The following is a 20325-nucleotide window of genomic DNA, read 5'->3' on the forward strand; positions in this document are numbered from 1 at the left end:
AGCCGGCTGGGGCGCTTTGCGTATTCATGAGGATCCCGGGGTGTTGACTTAGCCGGCCTGACCCTGTGCCTGGCGCCTTTTCTTTTGCACCTGTTGATGAAACCAGTGATTGCCCTTTGGTTTGTGTTGGCGGCTCCACTCCTGGAGGGGATGGGGACAAAAGCCCCAAAACATAGGCTCTGGAGAAACCGCTGATGGCAGCTTTGTCCCACGTAAATACTTGGTCGAGAAGCATCGGTGCTGCAATTTATAGAACTTGTAAACAAATATACCATGACCTTTATGCTGTCTTAGATCCTGCCAAGCCAGCGAATTTCACCTATGGACTTCAGAAGCCTTGAAACTGGCATTGTGCTATGGGCTTTAGTACGTGATCTCACTTAATTCTCACAATTCTACTAAAAAGCTATTATTATCCCCATTTTGCAGATGAGCAAACTGAGGCCTAAAGAGGCTAAGTTGCTTGCCAAGGTGACACCATCCACCTGACTTTTATGTGGCTGTTTCTGTAATGTCATTCAATGCGTGGCTTCCTGGTATCGCTAACCTGGGTCCCTTGTTTTGTGCTAACCATTATAAGGAAAACCTGGGTAGCACCAAAGCACGTGAAACCAGGTCTGATTGTTAGACTTCTAAATGTGGACACCCGAGAGTAAGCTCCCACCACTAGGCGTCCAGCTGTAACAGCTTGCCGGTATTCCTAGCTAAACAAGGTGCAGCCCGGGGTCACTCGTACTTGAGGTGGTCGGCAAATGCAGCAGGCTGCTTTGTAGATGCCTCTAGCCTTCTTTTCACATTTGTATGCATCGACTCCCGTTCGGATGTATGTCTTGGAAGGACTATCTCTCCTATTTCTGATTCCCTAATCATTTCATTAACATGCATTTATCCAGCTTGTTCTCAGTCACTTGATTACTGAAACAATGTCTCCAGTAGTCTCAGCATCAAAAGTAGGCAGTGAATTGTAGATTAAGTTATTTTCAGATTATTCTAATTTGTGCTGTCCTGAAGAGTCTAAGTTTGGTTATTTGGTGTGGCCTTGAAAGAAAACCACAGAAATTTCCATTCCATTTTAGATGTCTACTTCATACCACATTTATCGGAAGCGAAAGAGTAATTTCATGGTACAAAACTACTGTTTCATCAAATAGATTAAGATGTCCTTCAGTTGGATTACGGCAACATTAAGCCAAGTTCATACACATTCAAGAATTCTTTGAAGCAGCTTAGAAAAAAGAGATTTTATTTTTTCAAAAGTGAAGATTTAAAAATGATTAATGACAGTAATGTAGTGCATATTTTCCATTAGGAGCTGAAGTTTGGGCTGAGATTTACATCACGGTGGTGATTACAGTATACCAGATTTTAGAACAGAGAATGTAAGAAAGGAATTGGCTCGTCTTCAACTCATGTGCAGTCCACATTTGTCATTTAACCTAGCATTCATTTTTCAGTAGAAAACTTTAAAAAAAAATTTTTTTTTTTTTTGAAACAGAGGCTTCTTCTGTTGCCTAGGCTGGCATGCAGTGGCACAGTCACAGCCCACTGCAGCCTCAACTTCCCAGGCTCAAGCGATCCTCCTGCCTCAGCCTCCTGAGTAGCTGGGACTATAGGCACATGCCACCATGCCTGGCTAATTTTTTCTCTTTCTTTTCTTTTCTTTAAATGGGGTCTTACTATGTTGCCCATGCTGTTCTCGAACTCCTGGGCTCAGGTGATCTTTCCGCCTTGGTCTCCCAAAGCGTTGGGATTACAGGCATGAACTACTTACTGCGTCTGGCCTGAAAACTTAATTTTTTAAAGTCTGTTTTGTTTAAGTAAAATGAAACTATTTTTAAAAAGCAGCTGTAGCATTTGGTGGCTTTGCTGGTCCAGAGAATGTTTGTAGGAGAGAGCCTTATGTTACTAGAAAGTTGTTTAAAACTTTCAACATATCCTAAATGCATCACTATTGGATAAAATGGCTCTGAACTTGAAATTCCCATCTGTGTTCCAAAGGGCTAGCTAGCTGTTTTACTTTCCTTTCTTGGAGAAAGTGATTATTTTTTTTCTTTTTTTTGAGATGGAGCTTCACTCTTGTTGCCTGGGCTGAGTGAAGTGGTGCGATCTCGGCTGACTGCAACACCGCCACCCCCACCTGGGTTCAAGTGATTCTCCTGCCTCAGCCTCCCCAGTAGCTAGGATTACAGGCACACGCCACCATGCCTGGCTAATTTTTGTATTTTTAGTAGAGACGGGGTTGTGCCATTTTGGCCAGGCTGGTTTCTAACTCCTGACCTTAGGTGATCCACCTGCTTTGGCCTCCCAAAGTGCTAGGATTACAGGCGTGAGCCACCATGCCTGACCCGAGAAGGTGAATTTTTACAAGAAGGCTGCAATCTCTACTTTTGTATGGGACAGGACACTTGTGGCAGCTGGCGTAGCTGGTGGTCTAATCTTGACCTTTCACCCTTTCCTTGAAGTTCCGAGTCGGGGGTAGCTTCCTTTTCTCTTCAGCTGTGGTTTTCCTGTGATGGGTCCCTCCCAGTTAGTAATGAGAGGCTGAGAGACAAGTTGTGGTAACTGCTTCGTGGGTAGTGGTCTTTCCCGGCCCCTGAGTCATTCTAACTTCCATCCTGCTCCGCTGCGGATGCACATAGCTGCTTTCCTAGGGGCGAGAGGAGATGAGGGGACTGGGCCTGATGACCACAGGCGCTGCCCCTTCATAGCACATTTTATTCCTGAAGGATCCTAACTGGAAAAGTACCTCTCGCCGAAGGGGCTGGGTGGTTCCTTATCATTTTCAGGCAAGGCCTGGAGACAGGGGCTTGAACTGGGCTGTGATTTTTAGGAAAAACGGATGGTCCATGATTCGTTGATTGCTGGACTCCTTCCATCTGAACCTGTCTTCACCTGTCTTCACCTGTCCTGCTCTAAAGTGAACTCTTCACACTAGGGCCGTCTGGCCTGCTAGCAGGATTGTTGAAGGAATTATTCCAAATTCCTGCTTCTAAAAGAATTAGGTTGTGAATCTGAATCTGTCTTTTATGTAGATCAGTGGGAGCAAAAATTCCAGAGGCAGAAAAGCCAAATGTATTGGCACTGATTTAAAAGGCTTTTATGAAGTCTCGGGAACCTGACTGGAGGGTAGTTGGCCTTCTCAGCACAGGTGGGAAGCCCCGTAGCCGGTACCAGCATCCCTGGCCAACAATCCACAATTAGCAAACAGATGTTCCCTTATTTGCACATGGGACAAAAACCTACTCCTGTCTCTGTCTCTTGTAAACTTAGGGAAAAGTGCTTATTGTTAATGGATTTTGTGTATTTTCAGAGTAAGCGACAGTGTTCCAAAGTTCAAGGTTCTCCAACAGCCCCCAGGAACGGTGGCCTGAGGGTGTCCCTGTGTTTACAGTGCGGGCTGTGTGTGAGTGAAGTCGTGCCTCCTGCCGCCCAGCCGGGCTTTGCTGTGAACAGGCAGCAGGGAGGGAGGGATGGGGCAGGAGACTTGAGAGAATTAATTAAGTTAATTAATGGGTGTCCCTAAATTACTTTGAGCTTCTGGGGGGAAAGGTTCTGTGTAAACACCAGGCCCCCAGGTTCTCCCAGCTGCTGTTGTGCGAGGCCACGTCTCGAGTTTAGCTTTGTTTGAATTGGTGAGATGGCCCCAGGGCAGAGCAGGACTCAGTCTGAACTGTTGCCTAGATCACTTTCTCAGGCATTATGGCCAGATTTATTTGGTCACGGACTGGAATTTTGATCTGCTAGAGAGGACCACAGAGAATCAAATAAGTCACCATTTTATAAATGCTCCTGGACAAAGTTGAAACCACAGGTAGGACCAGGCAAGGGTTCCGGGGCCCCTGACGTGGGAAACTAGAGCAGCGACCCGGGACCACAGTGGTCTGTCTGCCTCCAGGACTGGTTTGCCTCCTCTCCTAGCCGGAGGCTGTCTCAGCGTAGTGTTTACAAAATGCAAACTGGGATGGTGTGTGCTTCTCCCGCGGGTTTTGTTTGTTTGTTTGAGACGGAGTCTCTTTGCCCAGCTGGAGTACAATGGCGCAATCTTGGCTCACTGCAACCCCCACCTCCCAGGTTCAAGGGATTCTCCTGCCTCAGCCTCCTGAGTAGCTGGGACTACAGGCATGCACCACCACGCCCGGCTAATATTTGTATTTTTAGTAGAGAAAGGGTTTCACCATGTTGGTCAGGCTGGTCTCAAACTCCTGGCCCCAAATGATCCGCCCACCTCAGCCTCTCAAAGTGCTGGGGTTACAGGCAATGAGCCACCACGCCCGGCCTTCCCCGTGATTTTTGTAGCTCACCTGTAAGATCGTGATTTCAAATCTTACCAGGCTCTTGTTTTGGCTGTGTGGCTCAAAAACTTGGCTTTTAGCCTTTAATTGTGAAAACGTTCAAACACAAAAGTAGAGGGAAAAATGAATCCCCTGTCTACCTGCCATTCGGCATTGATAGTTATCAATATATTGCCATTTTTATTTCACTTGTCCCTGTATTTTTTATGAAAACGTGAATCTCCTAAAATTTAGTTTGTTTAAAGCCAGGCAAGATTCTAATTTGTTGGGTTGGCTTTTTTTTTTTTCTTGCATTTAGATATAGAAGTTCAATTTTTTTATTTTATTGTAAATTGACAAATTATTATCGTTTTTTGAGATGGAGTCTTGCTCTGTCGCCCAGCTGGGAGTGCTGTGGCACAATCTTGGCTCACTGCAACCTCTTCCTCCCAGGTTCAAGTGATTCTCTGGCCTTAGCCTTCCGAGTAGCTGGGACTATAGGCGTGTGCTACCATGCCCGGCTAATTTTTGTATTTTTAGTAGAGATGGCATTTCACCATGTTGGCCAGGCTGGTATCGAACTCCTGACCTCAGGTGATCCACCCGCTTCGGCCTCCCAAAGTGCTGGGATTATAGGCGTGAGCCACTGTGCTAGGCCAACAGATTAGGATGATTATATATTATGGGGTACAAAGTGATCATATATGTGTACAATGTGGAATGATTAAATCAAGATGATTAACGTAGTCATCACCTCAAATACTTCTTTGTTTATTTATTTATCTTTTTTGAGGTGGAGTCTTGCTCTCTCACCCAGGCTGGAGTGCAGTGGCACCGATCTCGGCTCACTGTAACCTCCGCCTCCCAGGTTCAAGCGATTCTCCTGCCTCAGCCTCCTGAGTAGCTGGGACTACAGGCGCGTGCCATCACGTCCGGCTAATTTTTGTATTTTTAGTAGAGATGGGGTTTCGCCGTGTTGGCCAAGCTGGTCTCGAACTCCCGACTTCAAGTGATCCGCCCGCCTCGGCCTCCCAAAGTTCTGGGATTACAGACATGAGCCACTGCACCTGACCACTTATTGTTTGTAGGGAGAACATTTGAAATTTACTCTCCTAGTGATTTCAAAATATACATTATTATTAACTATAGTTACCATGCTATGCAAGTTCGAAATTTACTTGGCAGATTTCGTGTGGCCAGCAGCAGAAATGGTGGCATGAACTGATTCTGAGACATTGGCCAAGACACATTTTTAAAAGCAAAGTGACCACTTGGGAAGGGTCGACCACAGCCTGGAAGAACAGGGAGCGCTCTGCTGGTGAGCTCGGGAGGACAAGGTCTGGGCCCTTTGACGGCACTGCCTCTAGCCCCGGGCAAGAGAGGGCCGAGGGCCATGTCCAGTGGCCTCTATGCTCCCCTTTCTGGATGACATTCCTGCTGCTCAAGACCCTGGAGTGTGCTAAGCACATAGTGCAGCCTGCTCAGCCCCCTCCCAGGGCCTCAGGCAGACTGTGCAGCCGTATGTCCACCCCAGGCCCGGGCGTTGGGGTGGCAAGGGCATGTTACAGGTGGAACGGGACACACACTAGCTGGGACTCTGTGTGTGTATGCACGAGGCTCCCTGCAGGGGGGCATGAAGCCCAGGTTGGGGGAAGTCGGGGAAGAGAAGGTGGCCAGGCTGGGGCCGCCCTCCCCACTGGCTACATAATGAACCTGGCCTTCCAGGTAGTCACGGTGGCATACTTTTCGAGGTAGGAGGATAGAACCTATTTTATTTAACTGTTTTACTTTGTTAGCTTGATTTAAAACTGAACAGCTGGGCATACAGGATGCAGCACTCATGAGTACTCTGGCCCCAGACCCTACAGATATTCAGGCAGACCTGTCCTGGGCACCTGTCCCAGCCCGTGTCTCTCTGCTGTGTCTCTCTTCTGGAGCGTTCCTGGGGTGCTCAGGGTCCCCTTTGTGCTTTTTGGCTGCTCAGTTTCTGTTGCTGGGCTCCTTCGGCCTTCCCACTGAGGATGGGGAATATATTCTGTTTTCTTTCCACTTGAATTGTCCTTAAAGCCATGGGTAAACTGGTTCAGGCTCAGACTTGGGAATTTGATCGGAGTCCCTTTAGCATTTCTGGGCAGGGCTTGTTGGTGTCGTGGCCAGCTGTCCTCGAGGTGAAAACCAAATTGGGTTGGGAGGGTGCACATGACACTTAAAGCCCCCAGAGCTGCGGTGCCATCAACCACACACTGTGGACAGGAGGCTGTCAGTGGGCAGGCTGGGTCCACCTTCAAAGTCCATACGAAACAGCCCAGTTCAGGGTACTGCTTCTTTTCGAGATCTCACGGGCAGGAGCCTTCTGGCACTGTTCATGTAAATGTAAGTCATTCTTTCTTTCTGGAGGAAAATTTAGACAGGTGAATGAAAACCGGAGTGCTTAATCCGCTATTCTACATGCAGAAGTTTATCTCAGGAAACAGTCCCAGATCACTAGCCCATTTTGCTTCAAGGATGTTTATTGCAAGCTGTTTTGAGTTTTTCACTGGTTAAATAAACTTTGGTTCAACTTGATCATAATAGCTGACATTTGTGGAGTGTTTACCACCTACCAGGTGCTGATCCAAGTGGCTTACATTTATTAACTTACTTCATCCTTATGTCAAGGCAAGTACTAGTAATCTCCATTTTACACTTGGGGAAACTGAGGCACAAGAGGCCTAAGAACTTGCCTGAGGCTCCACCTCCAGTGGAAGGCTCCAGAGAACAATATGTTCAGTAAAATCTCATTCTTATGTAAAAAAATGAATATATATATATATATATATATATATATATATATATATATGGAAAAAGACTCCCTTTGTCCTGTTGTCTCTGGCTTATCTTGGTTTTCATCTGACATACACTTTTGATCGAGGAGGTTCCCACTTGGGGAAACAGCCAGCCCCTTTCTGAGCAGAGGGTGTGGCACTACAAAGGCGAAACATGATCTCTGGGAGAAACATGCTTGAAGCCCACGCTCCTGGGGGCAGAGCTGAGCCTCCACACGGATGTCCCCAGCACTGGGAGCAGAGGCTGATGCGGCCCCAAGGTGCTGAGGAAAGCGCCCCCCAGTGCAAAGGATGCTACAAGGCCCCAGGCTTCTCAAGGAACATGAGGCCTGGCAAACCCAGAACGTTAGACTGGGTCGGCTCCAAGATGCCCCTGGGTTTGAGCTGGAGAAGTGTCTGCGGGAGGGTGCTGGGGCTCCTGCAGAGCGTGTCTTCCTGACCCTGTGGGCTTTTCTGGGGGGGGCTAGGAGGCTCTGCCAAGTTGGTGGATGGAACTGTGCCTTGCCCTGGGGGGCACTGGGCAGGAGCCAGCCTCGGAGCGTGAGTCTGGTGCTGCGCCAGGAGGCTAGATGCCCCGGCCAGGTCCTGTGGGCTGCGCCGTCTGTGCCCTTGGCCCGCGAGGCTGGCAGGCTGCCACTGCTTGTAAAGCCTCCTGGTTGAAAAGGTGACTCGGAGCAGCGGATTCACTGGGAGCCTGTCAGCCACAGAGGCAGCTTGTGCTTGTGCCCCAGGCCCAGGCCGCAGGAGGTGGGATCAAGTTCCACGGCTCCAGTGTGAAGGTCTGAGCTTCATTCTAAGGCAGGTTTTTGAGGACATGGGGCTCTCGGGCACCTGGTTGTATTCCTGCATCCTGCATTCCTGCCCACTCTCTCATGCCTTCTTCTCCTTCTCCTTGGCGTGCCCCAAGCCAGCCTTCCATCTCAGATGGAGTTGTATGTTTCTAGTGAGCCCACACACCCCCTGAGGACAGGGCCTCACCCCCGCACGCCTGCTTCTTCATCACAGCTGCTAGGAAATGAAGATGCATGTCCCCAGGGGCCTTTGAAGTAGGATGTGGTCTCCCTGAGCAGAACTCTGACTCTAAATTCTCTCCTGGCTCTGGCGTTGGTGTGGGACTTGGGTTGCGGGAGGGGGCAGGTTGTTAGCGGCTGCTGCTCAGACCCAGCGGAGGACCGGGCTGCTCCAGGCTCCCGGCAAGATGTAGCAAAATGGCCAAATTTAAGGTGAGCACGGGCTCCCGTGCAGTTTCTCACCCCTGCTGCTGGCTGCCTGTCTGTGAATGCTAAGGCGAGGGGTGGTTCTACATTGACTTCTTACTGACTGGTGGGAGTAACCCGGAAGAGGCAAATGACTTCCTTCCCTTTCCTCGGCTCTGAACCTAGAATGTTCCAGTGATACCACCTCCAAACTCTTCACCTGTGTCCTTTCCCACCTCTCTGCCCTGAGGACAGGGAACTAAGTGGCTGCTCACGGTGGGTAAAACTGAGGCTTACAAGACACCTTGGGCAATGGGACAGCCAGACCCCAGCCCTCAGCACCTGCCTCTCCCATCCCAAGCCCCAGTCTCTTTTTCAGCTGCAAAGTCAATACCTTTGCTTTCAGAGAGGGAGCATGTGCCACGCCAGGAGAGGCTTTGGGTGTATCACAGATGGAGACTGCCTAGCTTAACTGCGCAGTCTGAATGATTCTAAGGAGGGGAAGAGAGAACGCCTCTGGAGCCTGGCACACACATTTGCCGGAGAAAGTGGTGAGTGCGTTGTGACCAGGTGAGGGACGAACCTTAAGGAGATTGGCTGAGAACACCTCCCCTCCTCACCCTAAGTCAACAAACCCGGGACAGCAGTGCTTCCAAAACCTTACTTGTTCACCTCACCTGGAGATTCTTGTGGCAAATCGGGTTCTGCCTCGTTGGCTCTGGGGTGGGCCTTGAGAGCCTGCCGTTCTAACAAGCTCCCAGGTGATGCTGATCCACGACCAGCTTTGAGTACCAGGATCTCGCATCAGCTTGGGAGGGAGGAGACCTGAATCCTAGCCCTGGCTCCTTAGGCTCTTCTTTCCAGTGGGGGAATTTAGTTAATTGCTCCGGGCCCCAATATCTTAATCTGAAAACAAATGAATGACAACCTAGTTGCCTTTCCTACTCTGAGATTCCATGCGTCTTAAAAGAAAAAAGTTTTAAAACTAAACATGTCACTGTCACCATCGCTACTTCACACACCTAAAGTTATAAACCACTCAGAAATGCAAATCTTAGGAGATGTGATCTGGCAAGGCAAAATCGAAGATGGCTTTGAGGTCTCAGCTAAACCTAGAAATCTGATGCTCTGCATTTTTTATGGGATGCTTATGAATTAATGAAAATACATGAGATTATCTCTCCTTGAGTCTACCCTTTCCTACAACCAGCAAAAACTTATAAAAAGCAATTGAAGCTTACTTTGGGAATGCCAAGGGATTGATTAAAATATGGACTGTGCTGATTCCATGGCTGGTTTAGCAGATTCTTGTTAAAAGCCATGACTTTTTAAAATTTTTATTTTTTTGTGGGTACATAGTAGGTATATATATTTATGGGATACATGAGATATTTTGATACAGGCATGTAATATGTAATAACCACATCATGGAAAATGGGGCATCCATCCCCTCACACATTTATCTTTTGTGTTACAAACCAATTATACTCTTTTAGTTATTTTAAAATGTACAGTTAAATTATATAGTCACCATGTTGTGCTATCAAGTACCAGTTCTTATTCATTCCTTTTATTTTTATTTGTTTTACTCATTAACCATCCCCACCTCCTCCCTAGACCCCCGCCGCTACCCTTCCTAGCCTCTGGTAACCATCCTTCTATTCTCTATGTCCATGAATTCAATTTTGATTTTTAGATCCCACAAATAAGTGAGAATATGCAATGTTTGTCTTTCTGTGCCTGGCTTGTTTCTTTTTTTTTTTTTTTTTTTTTTCCTTTTTTTTGAGACAGAGTCTTGCTCTGTCACACAGGCTATAGTGCAGTGGTGCGATCTCGGCTCACTGCAACCTCCGCCTTCTGGGTTCAACCTCCCAAGTAGCTGGGATTACAGGCACCCACCACCACACCCAGCTAATTTTTGTATTTTTAGTAGAGACAGGGTTTCACCATGTTGTCCAGGCTGGTCTCGAACTCCTGACCTCTGGTGATCCACCCGCCTCGGCCTCCCAAAGTGCTGGGATTACAGGTGTGAGCAGGTGTGAGCAACTGCACTCGGCTGGCTGGCTTGTTTCACTTAACATAATGACCTCCAGTTCCATCCATGTTGTTGCAGATAACAGGATCTCATTCTTTTTTATGGATAAATAGTACTCCACTGTGTATATGTACCACATTTTCTTTATCCATTCATCTGTTGGTGGACACTGAAGTTGCTTCCAAATCTTGGCTATTGTGAACAGTGCTGCAACTAACATGGGAGTGCAGACATCTGTTTGATATACTGATTTCCTTTCTTTTGGGTAGATACCCAGCAGTGGGATTGCTGGATCATATGATAGCTCTACTTTTAGTTTTTTGAGGAACCTCCAAACTGTTCTCCATAGTGGTTGTACGCATATAGTACATATAGTACATAACATATATAACATATGTATACTACATAACGTATATATAGTATATAACATATATAGTGGTTGTACTAATTTACATTCCCACCAACTGTGTACAAGGGTTTCCTTTTCTCCACATCCTTGCCAGCATTTGTTATTGCCTGACTTTTGGATGTAAGCCATTGTAATTGGGGTAAGATGATCTCTCAGTGTAGTTTTGATTTGCCTTTTTCTGACGATCAGTGATGTTGGGCACCTTTTCATATGCCTGTTTACCATTTGTATTTCTTCTTTTGAGAAATGTACATTCAAATCTTTTGCTCATTTTTTGGATCGGATTATTAGATTTTTTTCCTGTAGAATTGTTTGAGCTCCTTATATATTCTGGTTATTAGTCCCTTGTCAGATGAGTAGTTTGCAAATATTTCCTCCCATTCTGTGGGCTGTCTCTTCACTTTGTTGATTGTTTCCTTTGCTGTGCAAAAGCTTTTTAACTTAATATGATCTCTTTTGTTCATTTTTGCTTTGGTTGCCTGTGCTTGTGGGGTATTGCTCAATACATTTTTGCCCAGGTCAATGTCCTGGAGGTCTTTCCCAATGTTTTACTGTAGTAGCTTCATAGTTTGAGGGCCATGGCATTCTTAAAAACATAACTTTCATTCTTGCATAGCTTTTTTTTTTTTTTTTTTTTTTTTTAAGTAACCTGGACTGTCATTTGGCTAGGGAGGCGGGAGTTTGTGTGTCTGGAAATGTGTGGGTTTTTTTTTTTTTTTTTTTTTTTTTTTTTTTTTTTGGGACGGAGTCTCGCTCTGTCTCCCAGGCTAGAGGGCAGTGCAGCTACCTCGGCTCACTGCAAGCTCCGCCTCCCTGGTTCACACCATTCTCCTGCCTCAGCCTCCCGAGTAGCTGGGACTACAGGCGCCCGCCACCACCCCTGGCTAATTTTTTGTATTTTTTAGTAGAGACGGGGTTTCACCATGTTAGTCAGGATGGTCTCGATCTCCTGACCTCTTGATCCACCTGCCTCGGACTTCAAAAGTGCTGGGATTACATTACAGGTGTGAGCCACCACACCCAGCCAGTGTGTGGTCTTTTTTATCTGTCTGTTTAAACTGTCTGTTTTATATGTTGCATGAACCCCGCTTTACCATGAATCTTATCAATGACTGATAAATATTGTCTATTGGAAACATTCTCTTTAAGAGGAGGTGACCGTTCTCTGCAGCTCCTGCTGATTCAGCAAAGCTGAGGTCAGGTGGAGCCAGCTGGGCAGAGATGAGTGATTAGAAGGCTGTCATTGGCAGTGACAGTCCACGTGCTCCAGGGCAGAACAGTGACACTGGCTGTCACAGTCTGTTTCAACAATGGAGGTTGTTTGTTTTTATTTAAATGATGTGAATAAAGAAAGGAATCTTTGAAAACTAAGGCTGGAGCTGCCCAGGCCTGAGCCAGGCCCTTGTAACAAGGCCCTTCTGGGTGGGGGATCTACCTCTCTTTTCACCTGGACCACCTGGCGGTGGGTGGCGAGCTCAGAACCACAGCTGGGTGGAAAATGGGAGGGCCAGCAGCGAGCTGCAGGAATGGAATTCCATGATGGCATCTCATGTCTCCAGAGTGGACAGACAGAAGCTTGTGTTTTCATTTCAAAGGGCATCTGCCACGCCCTCCAGGCAGACCACATAAATGGCATTTTTGGGTGAGGCCTGAGGGATTCTGTCTGGTGGTATACACTGATTTTAACCAGAAGCAATAGATTTGGGCTCTTTTTGACAGGGGAAGATAGATGAGAGATGATTTCCATGAGGATGTTGAAAATATTGGCAATTCTGAAGACCCCAGGGAGTCCCAGGGGGTTCCTGGCCAGGAGCGCCCCTCCATTGCCCTGCACCACCTTGCTTTCCAGGCTGTGGCTCTGTGTGTCTGAATCTACGGCATGGGGGCACTTCCTTCTAATTCACAGAAGAAGCTATATGGGCCCCAGACTGCCCATCCTGCTAAAACTGGCAAAGGCCTTTTCCCAGCCTGAGCAGTAGTGATTCAGCCAACTGCAGAAGTGGTATTTGGAGCTCACCCTTAAAACATAAAGCAAGTTATGTTCAGACTATATACAGGCAATGAGAAAATATGATGAAATATGACTGCGTATGAATAGCCCCAGACTTCTAGGGCCTTTGAGTGTGTCTGTCTTGGGCAACATCTTCTCCTTTTAGATTTCAGGCTCAGTTTACTGTCAGGAAAATTAAGTTGCTGAGAGCGTCTCAGAATTTTGGCTTAAAAGAGAATATACACCTGGAACAAAGACTTGAGGGGTGCTCCTATTAAAAAAAACAAACAGTGTGTGAGCTTCAAAGGAGCACCTTGAAACTCCAGTTCCATCACATCCACTCTGCTGGGCCCTCCTAGGGCAGCTCTCTGTCTTGTGCCTGCCTTCTCTTCTGAACACTCCTAAGGTATTTTGAGTGCGGAGGATAGGATCATACACTCAGGAAAGCCGAGAGCTAGATCCTGAAGCATCTGTGCGGGAAATGCCCATCTGTGCCTGAAATGAGCATCTGCGAGTGAAGTGATCCCATGTCTGGGATCTGTTTGGCATGCGCCAGGAGACAGACGGACACATGCATGCACACACACACACAGCGGGGACGGGGAGTTGGTGAAATAAGAGTGGGAAAATGTTGACACCTCCGTGAGCCGGGTGACAAGCTGCTTGGTGGTTCACTAGACAGGGAGTTATAAATTGGCCGCTTTTCAACATCGACAGATAAAAATCAATAGCCTTCCCATAATGCCATCATTAATCAATTAGAGTCTGTAATGGGAAAAGCAGATGCCACTCCCCCACAGTTTCTGGGAATAAACAAAGTGTATAAGGCCTAAAAGAAGAAAGCTATAGAACTTGACTGAAGCCCACATCTGTGGAAAGGCATACTATGTTCTTGGAGTGGGAACATCAACACTATAGAGATGGCAGTTCCTCTCCAGTTAATCTGGAAGTGCAAGTATCGATGAGTAAATCCAATTAAATTCCAACAAGAGCCTGGTCTAAAATGTAACAGGCTGATTTTACAGTATCGCTGGACTCCCCCTACATCCAAACTTATTCTTACCTTCATTCTCCCATTTTGGTTAATGGCAGCACCATCCAGGCAACTGCTGGTAATAAAAGCCTGTGAGTCATTCTGACGCCCCTTCCTTCCTCAGCCTCATCCAACCTACCAGCCAGTAGTGAATCCCACCCCAAAACAGATGGTGAATCCCACCGAGTCCCCCGGTCATCGCTGCTACATCGAGAGTGCAGCCACTGCCCCATGTGCTTTCCTGGTCTGCTTGGCAGCCTTTGAACTAGTCTCCTGGCTCTTCCCCTGCTCCCCGTATAGGGATCTGCTTGAAGCTCACACAGCCCTGATCCTCTGCCCCTGCCTCTTTCTCCACCCTCATCTCCCACCATTTCCTGGGCTCACTGCATTCAGCAGCCTGACTTGTTCCTGCTCAGAATCTTCACACCCACCTGCATGCACTCCCTCCCCCAGGTGATATGGTTTGGATCTATGTCCCCACCCGAAGTCATGTTGAAATGTGATCCCCAGTGCTGGAGATGGGGCCCAGTGGGAGGTGATTGGGCCATGGTGGTGGTTTCTCATGAATGGTCAGCACCATCCCCCCTGGGGTTATCATTGAAACAGTGAGTTGCCACAAGATCTGATTGTTTAAAAGTGTGTGGCACCCACCCCACCCTCTTGGTCCTGCTCCTGCCATGTAAGTTGCCTATTCCCACTTTGCCTTCCACCATGAGTAAAAGCTCCCCGAGGCCTCCCAAGAAGCAGATGCTGCCATGCTTCCCGTATAGCCTACAGATCCATGAGCCAATTAAATCTCTTTTCTTTATAAATTACCCAGTCTCAGGCATTTCTTTATAGCAGTGCGAGAACAGACTAGTACACCAAGGGTTGGCCTGGCTGCTGCTGCCTCCGTCTCCCCACCTACCCCACCCCCCCCCACCCAGCTTCGTGACTGCAGTAAGACCTTCCTGACCTCTGTGGCTGGAATACCCTGCAGCCCCCACACACCAACTGTCTCTGCCCCATGCCTGGTTTCCTTTCTTCTTGGCGCTTATCACTGAAATTACCTTATGTGTGTGCTTACGTGGGTGTCTTCTGTTGTCCACTGCAAAAATGCATTGTGGGTTGAATTGTGTGCCCCAGAAAAATACATTGCTGTCCTAACCCGGGATACCTTGCAATCTTATTTGGAAATAGGGTCTTTGCAGATGCAATGAAGATGTAAGTTAAGATGGGATCGTACTGGTATAGGGTGGGCCTTTAATCCAATGTGACTGGCGTGCTTATAAGAAGAAAAGGGACACAGGCAGACGCACGCAGAGGGGAGAATGTCATGTGAAGGCATACAGGGAAGACAGCCATATGACAATGGAGGCAGAGATGGGAGTGACACTGCCGCAAGACAAGGAATGCCTGGGCTACCGGAAGCTGGGAAAAGCAAGGGAAGATGCTCCTACCCACGCCTTGATCTTGGATTTCTGGCCTCCAGAACTGTGAGACAATAAATTTGCTGTTGTTTCAAGCCCCCCGTTCTGTGGTTCTTTGTTACAGCAACCCAGGCAACTAATACAGGGGCATTGTGTATCTCGTTCAGTACCTTACCTTAACACTGCCTCGTGTGGAAATGAGGCTTGGCAAACACTGTTGAATGACGAAGCATTGGCAAAAAAAATAGCCAAGATTTTGAAAAGGATCCACAAAGGCAGACTGATTTACCAGGTAGCACAACATATTATAAAGCCCTAACCATCGTGGAGGCTGTCAGCACAAATCAACACAGTAGAGTGGAAGGCTCAGAACAGACTTGTGTGAGCAGTGTTACTTTGTTTCTTATAAAGGTGATGACTTCAGTCGGTCAGAGAAAGGTAAGGGTGGATACTCAGCACCTGCTGTTGGTGTGGTTGATCAGTGCAGTGCCTAAGAGGCCCCTGCTCTATTCAACTGGATATTCACGCAGGCATTCTTGGCCGGTCTGCTCAGAGAGGAATAGGCTGGAAACCTTGGCTGGCCAGCAGGATGCTGCCTGCTGCTCTGCTTCCAGGGGAGCGAGGGGTCTTCCTGGCAGTTTTTGCAGGTGGCTGCACACACAGGTGTCCTTCTGGTCACTAGCTCCTCCCCCAGCTGAAAGCCCTGGGTCCCCAAGGAGCCAGAATCCCTTATAAAATTACCAGCCTTACAGAGCCCTGGGTTCACACAGGGGACATTCCATGTTACAAGAGTTACCACACCTAAGGAAGCCCCATGCCTGGCTTCTTCACCGAGTGGTTATAATTCACTTATGGGTCTTCCCTGTCCAGAGGCAATTTGCCAATCAAGGTCATTTTTACCATGAGCAATGTTGTCTAGTAACAGAGTTGACGTTCCATCTTGATTGGGGTTCCCAGGGAACCAGAGCTAGATAATTAAACATTAAATTCTCATACAGAAGGGAAGAAAGATTTTGCTAAGCCTGTGACCAAAACTATCCATATGGACACTAAGTGAGAGTCCTATGTTTTATCATACATTAAAATAAATGCAGAGGTATTTAAGTGTAAAAAAACAACTTTCAAAGTATTAGAAAATATAGGCTATGCTTTCACAGTGTTACGGCATGGAAAGATGTTCTAAGGAAAGCATCAAACTCAGAAGTCATAAAGGAAATAAACCTGACAGATATGGGAAATATTTTTATTGAAGTGTAACATACATAGAGAAAAATGAACACTCGAAGCGTTGAGCTCCATGAATCTTCACCCGGTGAACACACCCACATAGCCAGCACGCAGATCTGGAGAGAGAACGTTTGCATCCCAGGCCCCTGCCTCCCATTCCCCCTGTGTCCGAATGATAGATTTGACTACATAAAAATGGAAAACTCCAATATATCAAAAGACACCATAAACGTAGTGAAAAGACAAGCAACAGCCCAGAAGGAAAGTTTGTGCAGCCTTTTGTAACATAGAAAAAGGCCAAAGATGGATGATCATAGCATATAAAAGAACTCCTATAGATCATGAAGAAGGAAGGACAAATAGTTCAACAGAGAAATTGGCAAAGGATATAATGAGCAATTCTCCAAAGGAAAAATACAAATGGCCAAAACAATGGAGCCAGTGTGGCCGGCTCTGCCCAGCACGGCCATTTGCACATGGTCACTGTTGGGTGGGTGAGGGCTGCTTGCCCCGTCTCCAGCCCCACTCTCTTGCCATCTCCCCCTGTGATTCAGGCATGGAGCTCAGGCCCCAGGTGGCAGGCAGCGCACTCTGCTCAGTTACCCCAGCTCCTGGCTTCATGGCCATGCCCTGGCACCTGTCTCCCTCCCCTTAGCCTGCTGACCTTTTTCCCATGGGATGTTTGGTTGTCTCTGTACAGGCTCTGAGCCAGCCCTATGGGCTTCCAGACAAGCCCAGATTGAGCCTGCCCTCTAGGGAGCACCCCTGTGTAGCTTCCAGCTGAGACCTTGAGACACAGGCCCAGGGAGCCAAGCTCAGGGCTGCGAACATCCAGGTGGGGCTCAGGTGCTAGAGGCGGACAACAGCCTGGTGCAGGACCCAGAGTGGCAAGAGGTAGTAAGGGGGCCATGGTGTTCAGAAATTGGGGCAGGTGGTGGGTAAGGCATCCTGCTTCTAAAGGCCAGGGTTTGGGAGGGCAAGGAAGCCCCTGGCAGGAGTCAGGGCAGGCATCCCGGGCAGGTAGTGTTTGTTCTGTGAAGCAGGCTTCCCCAAGGAGGGGCCCTAGAGCAGAAAGCTGTGATGTGCAGGTGACTGGGAGACCTGTTCTCTTTCGAGCCGTGCAGCTCCGGTTAGTGGATGACAGATTTCAAGCCCTGCTCAGGCCAGTGTTTTTCACACATGTTTGACCTTTGGTTGACAGCACACAGCACAACAGCTTATGGTCCAGGAGTGCACCTCGGCATGCAGTTTGGGAATCCTGGCGATGATGTGATTAAGATTCTGGGGCCAGGTTCTCACCAAGCCAAAAGGCTTTTTTTTTTTTTTTTTTTTTTTTTTTTTTTTTTTTTTTGAGGCAGGAGCTAATTCTAGGTACAGAAAACCATTGGTAAAGTGGAGGAAGCTGTTTCCAGATCCACGGAATGACGGTAACTAGCGTCACTTGAGAAGGTTTCTTCTGCCCTTTTGTAAAAAATAGCATGATGTTTTCTCCTAGAGACAGACAGGGCCTCTGTACGTAAGAGCAGACATGTATGGAGAAGGCCGGAGAGTCACAAACCATATGTGCCTGAGATGTGCCACCTGTGGGGCTGTGAATAAGGAAGCAGAATCAGTGTGTTTACTCAGAGCTGGATTTGGCTGTTTGTTCCTTCATCTTTCTTGGACCACATGTCCTGGTGTTCAGAGGCTCCTGAGAGCCTGGGGCTCAGTAGGCCGTCTCATAGCCCCTCTAACCCAGGTGAGAAAACAGGTCCCAGTGGGTCCCTAACCCATGCTCATTTTCTCACCAAACAACAACAAATAAATCAGAAAGTCCTGAAAAATGAATTCTGGCCTGTTTTCTGGATTCTGGATTGAAATATGGAGTAGGAGCTGACTTTTAGTAAGTTGATCAACTCTCCCCGCCGACCCCCTAGCCTTCTGGAACTGTCTTCAGTAAACACAACCCCCGCCACCCCTGACCTACCCGCACCGCACTGTGGTCGGCCTCTTCTTTGAACACTTCCCTTACAGCACGCACTCCCCCCAAGCTGGGCCTTCTCTTGAGACCACTCTGCTGTCCTTGGGAGTGATGGTGGAGGCGGGGTAGACACCCTGTCCCTGTCTCGTGGTGCTCCTTTGGGCCACAGCTCCTCTTCCCTCCGTAGGAGGAACCATCTGGAATCCATCTTCCTCCTTGACCACACCTCTCCATTCATTAAGGAGCAGAGTTCCCTGCTCACTGGGTCTCTCTACCCCTCCTCTGTCCCTGTCTGGGTGAGGTCACAGAGAGCCTCACCCGCCTGCTCTGTTGGCCTCTCACTTGCCGTCCTCTCTGCCCCGTTCCCTCTCCTGCACACCTGTCCGCGGTATCCCCAGCTCTTAGTGACTCTAGCCCTCTCCCGCCCTCCTCTGCACCCTGCATGCACTTGTGTTGCTGAATGTGGCCGGAGAAAAACACAGCCATCTTGACTGTTCTGTGAGACTTCATAGATTTCCAGGGCTGTGTGGAATCAAAAAATCTTCCTGCATTTCCCCAGCCATCTGGCCTCCAGGATGACTATTTCACATCTCCTCAAGCCTTTCACATCTCATCCCCCTCACACCTGATGATTTTGCTTCCTATTTCACTGGGAAAATGAAGGTAACTGAGAACTTTCTTTTTTTTTTTTTTTTTTTTTTGAGATGGAGCCTGGCTCTTGTTCCCCAGGCTGGAGTGCAATGGCACGATCTCGGCTCACTGCAACCTCCACCTCCCGGGTTCAAGCGATTTCTCCTGCCTCAGCCTCCCAAGTAGCTGGGACTACAGGCGCCCGCCACCACGCCCGGCTAATTGTCTTGTATTTTTAGTAGGGACGGGGTTTCATCATGTTGGCCAGGCTGGTCTCGATCTTCTGACCTCGTGAGCCGCCCACCTCGGCCTCCCAAAGTGCTGGGATTACAGGCATGAGCCACCGCGCCCAGCCAAAGGTAGCTAAGAACTTTCAACAGCCCCCACACCTACTCCCTGGCTCTGGTACAGTGGACAGCCTCCCAGGCTTGTCCCCCCTCCCAGTGACCTTGACCCCTCTCATCTTTTAAGACCTCGCTCCCGCAGTTTCCCCCTTTCCTTCCTAACTCGGTCATTTGCACCATTATACCAACAGGCTGTCTTAGCTCACATTAAGAAACCCTCTCTTGACCCTGGCCTCCACCTCATCTCTTGGTTTTCCCATGTGACGAGGTTGTCTACACACCTTCCCTCTTCCCAGTCTCCCTTGAAGTGACTCCAGCCAGGCTGTGTCCTCCCACTCTTCTGAAACCTTTCCTCAAGGCCTCCAGGACCTTCTGGCTGCTCAGTCTTCCATCCAACAGCATCCCACAGATGAAGCATTTTCTTCGCTTGGCTTGTCTTACGCTCTGTTCTCATCATATTGCTTCCTCACTGCCTGTTTTTCTCCAGAGCCTAGAACCATGCCTGGCACACAGTGGGCATCTAGACCCTTTGCTGAGTGGTGAAATTGAAGTGTGACAGGGTGCGTGGCTTCCCTGCTCAGGCTCCCTCAGTTCCCAAAGCTGTGCTCCTTCCTGGATCTCATGTAGCACAAGGAGGCATACGTGGGTCGCACCACATGGCTTCTAGAGGAGTATGTGTGAATGTGTTCATGTTCATGTGGAAATAGGGAGGCGGCCCTGAGGTGGGAGGAGCCTTCCCAAGAGGAATCACCTGAGAGAGGAAGAAGAGCTGGGGAGGAACTGAGGAACTGGTTTGGCAGGTTCAGGAAGAAGTGAGTGAAGAAACTGGAAAAGTAGCCAGGATCAGAACCTGCAGCCGCAGGACCTAATTTGTTAGGACCTAAATTAGGGGTGATTGTGCAAGGCAGTGCAGCATGGAAGCCCCACTCCAGGACTTCCCTGGTGGCTAGGAAACATTGCTCCACCCCTCCCTCTTGTCAAAAGAGAAGGTGCACA

General features: G+C 48.3%; 1 protein-coding gene and 1 long non-coding RNA gene across 8 annotated transcripts in view, besides 1 other annotated feature; both read left to right on the forward strand.

Moving 5' to 3' along the window:
* Positions 1 to 20325, forward strand: part of SYNJ2 (synaptojanin 2) — a 117881-nt gene that overhangs the window by 1062 nt on the left and 96494 nt on the right. The gene's annotated exons all lie outside the window — the stretch shown is intronic.
* Positions 17078 to 17577: an enhancer, noted in NCBI's record as "H3K4me1 hESC enhancer chr6:158420467-158420966 (GRCh37/hg19 assembly coordinates)". NCBI's record gives its function as "activates a minimal SCP1, AML or CMV promoter by ChIP-STARR-seq in naive H9 embryonic stem cells {active_cell/tissue: H9 hESC(naive)}" and the evidence as "EXISTENCE:reporter gene assay evidence [ECO:0000049][PMID:30033119]".
* Positions 18750 to 20026, forward strand: SYNJ2-IT1 (SYNJ2 intronic transcript 1). Its single transcript, NR_046796.1, has 3 exons — positions 18750 to 19018; positions 19225 to 19344; positions 19817 to 20026. It is a non-coding gene; the product is annotated as an SYNJ2 intronic transcript 1 (long non-coding RNA).

This window comes from Homo sapiens, chromosome 6, assembly GCF_000001405.40.
Source record: "Homo sapiens chromosome 6, GRCh38.p14 Primary Assembly".
NCBI lineage: Eukaryota > Metazoa > Chordata > Mammalia > Primates > Hominidae > Homo > Homo sapiens.